The following is a 7,925-nucleotide window of genomic DNA, read 5'->3' as shown; positions in this document are numbered from 1 at the left end:
CATGAAAAAGACACAGTTTGAAGATTTAAGCATTTTAGAAGTTGTATGCCAGTAAACTGGACAAAGATGAATATATATTTTCCAATATCATACCTCATTTAAAAACAGTTTATCTTGGGCAGCCTGGGGAGTGGTTATAAGCACAGACTCAGAATCAGACTGTGTTCATCTTCCTGCTTTACCAGGAAGTGGGTGTGTGAACTTGGGCAAATTATTTTACCTCTCTGTGTTTCAGTTTCTTCATCTGCAAGTGAAAGGCATAGAAAAGAGTGCCTGGCACATAGTGAACACTATCTGAGTATTTCATTTTTGAAGGAATAAAGAATTGATGTTTATTTTCTGACTCCTTACTTGGTCTGTCTTACATATCACTGTCTCCTTAGCTCCGTAAACAGCCCCTGACATATCAGGTAGGCCCTTAAGTATCTGTTGAATACTTTTGGTATAAGTAAGAGCACTGAAACATAAATAAGTATTTTTAAAACCTGAAGTTAAAGAGAAAAGACACTGGGCCAAGTCTTGGAAGACTGAAGTTTCGATTCTTGCTCTGCCACCTAAGAGCCAGTTGATTTTAGGTAAATTAGGTAAAATCTGCCCCAAGGCCAAATTAGAATGAAACAAGTCTTCTTTGCTCCAGAGGTGAAAGGAAAGTAAAGTGAGAATTTTACAAACCTCCACTTACTCCATAAAGAAAAGTTATAGTGTTCCCCAAGGAGAACATGGAGCCTTGTTGATTAAGCTCTTCTATGTGCCTGGCTCTGCCTTAAGTCCTGGGAATATGGAAACTAAAGACTTGGCTCTTGCGCTAGAGGAACTGACAAAAATCACAAGGAAGACAGAAAGTAAACAATTGCAGTGGAGTGATGACTGTTTTGGTGGAGGTGAGTCTGGAAGCACAGTGGGGAGCCACCTATAGGTGTGACCCTCACCCTGAACTGGGAAGGGAGTTGTCTGGGTGGGGAGAGGCATTCTCAGCACAAGGAGTGAGTGTGCAAAGACATGAGGCTCTTTTCACCACAATTTCAGGAAATGAAGGTAGCTCAGTATGCCAGGGAGTGGGTGTGTATGAGGAGAAATGGCAAATGATGGCATAGGACAGGTAAGCAGGGCCCTGATCTTATAGGGTGATGCTAAGATTCTCCTCCTTGCCCTCCGATTCCTCTGACAAAGTGGCCTGGGTGCTGCTGGAGGCTGAGACATCGCTCCTGGCCTTAGGAGCCCTGCTGACTTGCTGGTCTCAAAGCTGCCTACTCAGATGTGTGCCCAATACCTCAGAGAAGCCAATGGCACTCCACAGAGAGAAGTAGGAGGCTCACCAGAGTCATCAGACCAGATCAGATCAATTTTTTTCTAGACAAATGGTATTAAACCTTCCTATACTTGAGGAGAGGGCTGAAGAGAGGGCAGGGGCAACCGAAGTGAGGAGCAATCCCATTCTTTTAGATTGAGCCTGTTCCTCTTTTCCCCCCAAATTACTTCTCCCACTGCCTTCTCCTCTCATTACCGATGCATCATGATGATTCCAATTCTCCACTCACCTCTATATTCCTGCCCTTTGCCGTGGGACTTTGCGGCATCCAGAGGCGGAGTCTGTTTCCCCATCTCTTGAATCTGGCTTGACCAACAGCATGTGGGGGAGGTGCTGGCATGCAGGTTCCAGCCCAGCCATTGGTTCCACTCTCCCCTAGAATCCTGCCAAGGGGAAGTCGCTGAGTCATCCCAGGTGAGACTATTCTAGATCAGTGAGGCCCCAACCAGCCCAGCAGGTGACTGCAGAAGCGTGAGCAGGCCCAGCTGAGATCTACCAAGCCAGGACCACCCACAAAACCACTTGCCCCACCCTTAGGCTTGGGAGAGAGAACAAATGGCCATTGAGTAAAGTGACAACATTTTAAGAGGTTTGTTACATAGAATAGCTAAAAAATATACTTCTCAGTGATTTTTTATTTTCCTTTTTGTCCTTCCTTCCCCAAGAAGAGTTAAGGAGGCAAGATCCTGGTGACTGAATTAGGGAGAGGGCATGAGTCGCCATTTCGGGACCTATTTACTCTTTCATCCTAGGATGTAAGCTTTCTATTTATATGAGTACTAACTGCCCCAAAGAGACACCAATTGTGCAGCGAGATGTGTTTTCCATTCTAATAAACCATTTTCCCCCTTACCCACAGCATTACCCTCTGCATTGCTAGGGCTGAAGGTCATGGCTAATTGGCATGGCTGCTCAAATCATCTCTGGGAGTCGCCTCATGGAAATCTTGCAAAGTGGAGGACCCAGTGGGAGAACAGCAGGATTCTGATAATGGGCTGAAGATAATTTCACTGGCTCACCTTGGGCCTTGTTTGCTGGTGATAAAATAAAGGGTAGGAGCTCAGCAACCAAATTGGCTCCAGAGTTGATGTGTGGCCGAACGGCCTTGATGAGGAAGCTGGGAGTTGTAAAGCAGGCTCGCCCTTTAATGGGTGCTTTGTGCTTGTTTGGCTCCTTGTCTAGAGATTGGGCAAAATCTATTAGTGCAATCCATGCCGCTCACTCCTTATACCAGAGCCATCTGGGAGAAGACTTACCCATTTCTTTTCCGATCCTCTAATTGGAACTGCTGACTGACTCTTATGTACCTGAGTGGCTTACAACAGGGATGCTAAGAGCTCTAGTACCAAAGCATTTTAAAGGGCAACGGGAGATGTCATTCACATTGTCTGCAGATCTGTTTGGATGGATGTGGACATCTGCCAGGAGCAGCCGGCCTGGAAGGTGCCCGTGCAAAGATTGCTGATTTGCAGTGACCTCTGACTGTACTTAAGCAGCTGAATTCTTCAGACTCCAGTGAGCGGAGATTGAGTGTGTTTGAAGTCAGCTGGTGAAGAGTTGAGCTTGTTTTCTGATCCTTCCTTCATCATCTTGGGGAAATACAGACAGGAAGTCTCCTGAAAGAGACCTTCTGGCTGCAGTTTTCAATGGCAGGAAGTGGGGGCTACCTTCAAATTTGACATGAAAAACAATTCCGACATGGCTGGATGGTTCCAATTAATCACCCTCATGGGTCTACAGATGACTGAAAAGGTTATGAACCATCCTTTCGGTTAATAGTTTGGTAACTGAAGTCTGCACTCTCAAAGCTTGCTTTTTTTGTTTGGTTGGTTTTTTTGTTTGGTTGGTTTTTTTGTTTGTTTGTTTGCTTGCTTGCTTTTGCGACGTCTTGATCTGTTTCCCAGGCTGGAGTGCAGTGGCGCAATCTTGGCTCACTGCAACCTCTGCCTCCCAGGTTCACGCCATTCTCCTGCCTCAGCCTCCTGAGTAGCTGGGACTACAGGCTCACACCACCACGCCCAGCTAATTTTTTATATTTTTAGTAGAGACAGGTTTCCATGTTAGCCAGGATGGTCTTGATCACCTGACCTCATGATCCGCTGGCCTCGGCCTCCCAAAGTGCTGGGACTACAGGCGTGAGCCACCGCGCCCAGCCCAAATCTTGCTTTTTTAGTCATCGACTGGGAAGGCCAAGCCTGTTGCTATTTGCAAGTTACTAAGCTGCTAAGTCTCTATGGGAGACCTTATGAGTGTGAGTGGAGATGGGGAGTTCACTTGAGAGGAAGCTAGGTTTCCTCCCACACTGCACTTTGTTTGGGTTTTGCAGAGTAGATCCCTTCTAAATAAAGCATGCAGTTTAATGCATCAAGCTTTTCTTGAGCACTTACTATGTGCCAGAAACTGTTAGGGATGGGAACACAAGACTGAATACCACACGGCTCCTACTCTCGTGTTGCTCAGGAGGCACCAGGCTCTTCTTTGGGATGCCCTGCTCTCCCTCTTTTCCCTGTAACAAGCTCAGCAGCTCTTCTCTGCCTGTACCCACTTGGCCTTAATGCTGCTGGAAGTACCTGGAGGGTTGGGGTGGGGGCTTTTCCTTCCCCCAGAAATGTAATGGGGGGAGGATTTTTAAAAATATGTCTATGAAAGTGAAACTTTCACATTTTGTTAATTTTTATCCCATCGCATTCCAAAATTGATATAAAAATTACAGGTCATAAGATCAAAATGGGAAGGATACAAGGGGAAATACATGCAGAAAGAAATACACAGAATATGTGCCATTGAGTCCTATAAATGACCTTGGTGTAGGGAGGGGGAGCACAAATTTAGCTCAGAGCATCTTTCATTACTAGCTTAAAGATGAAAGCCTGAACAGACAGTGGATTCATATTATTCCTAGAATTTAAAAAGTAGATTATTTTGAAGAAATAGTTATTCTTGAGAAGGGAGAAATTTCTCATAGTCCCTTAAAAAGGGAGTGGTATGTAATATAACTTATTGGATTCTTTTTTAGTTTAAAGGATAAATAAAGATTTTCAAGCCTGTTGCCTAATGCATTTGTTCTTTAAAGATGTTTTTCTAAGAGGGAATGCTAATCTTGGGATTGCTATACTTCCAACATTCTGTGTTTCACATTACAATAAATACCAGACTAAGGGAGAACTTGAAATCCACATCGGGAAGGAGAAGTAGGATTTAACTTAGGAGCTGGGTTTAAGTGGACAGGTTGGTAACACTCTCAGATGATGTCTTTATCAATTAATGTCATTTTAAGCGTGGAGTACAGGGCTTCCAGTTCTGGGGCAAGATGGTTTAGACTTATACCTTCCTGCTCTTCCCCTTTGAATACAACTAAATATCCTGGAAAGAATTCAACAATTATAAGAGAATGGAAATATAGGAAGAAAGAATGTGAATATCAGGACTTGAAAAACAAAATCAAGATGAGTTCCCTGGGCTTTCTTTTTGTCTTCCATATATCCCAGACTGGGTGCCAGAGAGGGCTATAAGCTGGAATCACCAACAGGCATAAACAAAAAGAAAGAAACAAGAAAAGCCTTCTCTCTCTTGCCAATGCCCTGAGAAAGGGAATTGTGTAAGTCCCCTTTCTAAACCCAGCAGGTACTAAGTGGGAACTTAGTGGGGAGTATCATACCCAGTGGCAACAGTGAGCCTCATCTGCCTGCAGCAGCAGCAACATCAGCCTCTGACAAGGCCAAGCCCTCTCCCTCCCCACAACTTGTCAGCAGGTGGGCCACTCTGCCGGCACTGGCAGCTCCAGAAAGCCCAATGTCTCCCAGGCCCTACCCAGCAGCAGAAGACAATTCAGGCCAGGTGTTTCTGGTCCCTTCGCCCAATGGCAAAAAGCAAACCAGGCCTAGAATTGCCTAGCCCTCCACCCAGTAGCAGAAGGTGAAGTAGGCCCTGGGTCTTCTACCTTCCACCCAGTGGCAGAGAGCTACACAGACCTCATGGCTTCTGGCTTTCTACCCAGGAGCAAAAGGTGGCCCAGGCAGGAATTTCTGTCCTTCTGCAGAACTGACAGAGATCAGGTGGGAAGCTCACTAGCATCAGGTGACTGGAGAACAGGCTGAGGGACACGCTCCCCATCCTGTGGGTTTAACAACTCTCTGCATAATCATACTAGGTAGCTCACACTAGTGCCTTGCACACCACAGGCAGCAATAGCAGGTATCCAGTAGGACCTTCAGTGAAGCCAGAAGGACAAAGCAGACCAGAATAGCACTGCAAGGGCTCAGAAAACTGAAGTGTCATTGAAACTACAAGCCCGCAAAACTAAGCCAGAACATACATGCTAACCCTAAACAGGGTGACTTGACTACCTGCTAAAATATAAAGGATCCATAATCTCCTAACATATTAATAATTACTTTAAATGTAATTGGTCAATTAAAAGACAGATATTAGCCAAGCTGAAGTTAATCACATATTGGAACTAACAAAGACTTTAAAGGAGTCATCATAAAATCTTCTCAATAAGTACAAATTACTTTGAAACAAATGAAAAAACAGAAAACCTCAGCAAAAGAATGGAAGTTATAAAAAGAGCCAAACGGAAATTTAAAAGTACAATAATGAAATAAAAAGTCACCTGGATGGGCTCAATGGTAGAGTGCAGAGATGTGAGAAGATGGAAACAATGAACTCAAAAACAGATCATTATGATCCAACTTTATGCTGTCTACAAGAAACTCACTTTAAAAACAAACACAACATATTTAGGCTGAAAGTGAGAGAATGGAAGAATCATATAATGTTAACATTAATTCAAGAAAAGCAGGAGTGCTTATATTAATATCAGATAGAGCAGACTTCACACAAAGACAATTACTAGAGACATTATATAATGTTAAAAGGATCAGATCTTCAAAAGAAGGCATAGTAATTCTAAATATGTATACAATAAACAATGGAGCTTCAAAATACACGAAACAAACAGCAAAAAAACCCTGATAGAGCTGAAAGCAATTGACAGTCATGCTGGGGAAAAAATTAGTAAAGATACAGAGGGCCTGAATAATGCCAACAACCAACCTATCCCAATTGATACTTACGGAATACTTGACCCAACAACAGCAAAATACACATTCTTTCAAGCAACCATAAAACATTCACCAAAATAGACTATATTCTGGGACATAAAACAAACCTCACCTCAATAAATTCAAAAGAATTGAAATCATACAAAATATCTTCTTTAACTATAATGGAATCAAACTAGAAATCGATAACAGAAAGACAATAGGAAAGTGTCAAATACTTATAAATTAAACACACAAACAATCCATGAGACAAAGAAGATGTTGCTAAGAAAATATTTTAAATGCATAGAACCAAATTAAGATGAAAATATTAATACAACATCCAGAATTTGTGGAATGCAGCTAAAACATTGCTGAGAGGAAAATTTATAACACTAAATGCTTACCTTAGAATGGAGAAAGGTCTCAATTCAATAATTAAAGTTTCTACCTCAAGTATAATATTCAAATACAAACTTTAATTATTGAATTGAGATCTTTCTCTATCTCAAGGTAAGCAGGAAGTGTTTTTAATGTTACTTGAATGTTGCTTCCTGGGTTAATGTACTTATTATTATCTTAAGAAAAATTATCTTTCTTCTGTAACTATTTTATTCTATATAAACACTTTTACTCAAGAGCTTGAAAGCATGCCTACTGAGAGTAAGTGACTCAGAGTGAGATGACCTCACCCTGTTGGGGCTGCTCCTGGATTGGCTGGACAGGCAGTTGTTGGTGAATTGAGCATTTCACTCAACAACTTATTTCTCAGGTGATAGTGTCTGATGAATTTTTACTCTCACTACAAATTCTACTTTGAAGAATAAGAACCAAATCCAAAGGAGCATATTTGATTTGCACAAGAAATACACCAGTCTTGAGACACACCCAGATTAAAATTCATTTATTCATTATTATTTATTCATTCAGCCTATGTCCCAAGGACTGTTCTAGGTGCTGGAATGTAGCAGTGAACAAAATAAAGACCCTGTCTGAGAGTTCTACTTGCTGTAGAAAGCATAAAATATTGAACAACATAATGTCTTTCCCCAGGAGTTTGCAGTCTAATAGGGGAAATAGCTGTATATCCAATGAAATGGGCAGCTGGAATGTAAAGCGTCAGATGGGAACCATAGGAGAGCTTAGACAATGAACTGAGGACAAGACAATGTTTGGAGATGGGGTCAAGAAGCACAAGGAAAAACTTTTATTAAGAGGCTGAGTTGGGGTTATGAGGAAAAAGATAGATGGTTTACAATGGAGGAGAAAAGGGGTTGACATTAGGAAGATAAGGGTAGGGACAAGAAAATACAAGGCTAGGGGCCACCAGAGCCTGCCAAGCAGGGAACAAATGTAACAGACACTTGGAAGCAGTAATAACTGAGTGGTAACCATTATAAATGTTTACTCTGTGCCAGGGCTTTACATAGATTATTTTATTTAATTATCACAACATTGAAAGAAATAAATGGATATTTCCATTTTATAAAAAGGAAATTTAGGCCCTAGAGGTTAAGCAACCTGTCCAAGATTATACAACGATAAGGGGTGAGCCTCAGATTTGAACCTGT

General features: G+C 42.2%; 1 annotated feature.

The window, feature by feature from the left end:
* Positions 1,200–2,399: an enhancer, noted in NCBI's record as "BRD4-independent group 4 enhancer chr7:25560334-25561533 (GRCh37/hg19 assembly coordinates)". NCBI's record gives its function as "activates an origin of replication core promoter dependent on BRD2, P300/CBP, MED14 and CDK7 cofactors, and independent of BRD4, by STARR-seq in HCT116 cells {active_cell/tissue: HCT116}" and the evidence as "EXISTENCE:reporter gene assay evidence [ECO:0000049][PMID:35650434]".

Source organism: Homo sapiens, chromosome 7 (genome assembly GCF_000001405.40).
Source record: "Homo sapiens chromosome 7, GRCh38.p14 Primary Assembly".
In the NCBI taxonomy this organism is placed as follows: Eukaryota; Metazoa; Chordata; class Mammalia; order Primates; family Hominidae; genus Homo; species Homo sapiens.
This window is presented reverse-complemented; position numbering and strand designations above follow the sequence as displayed.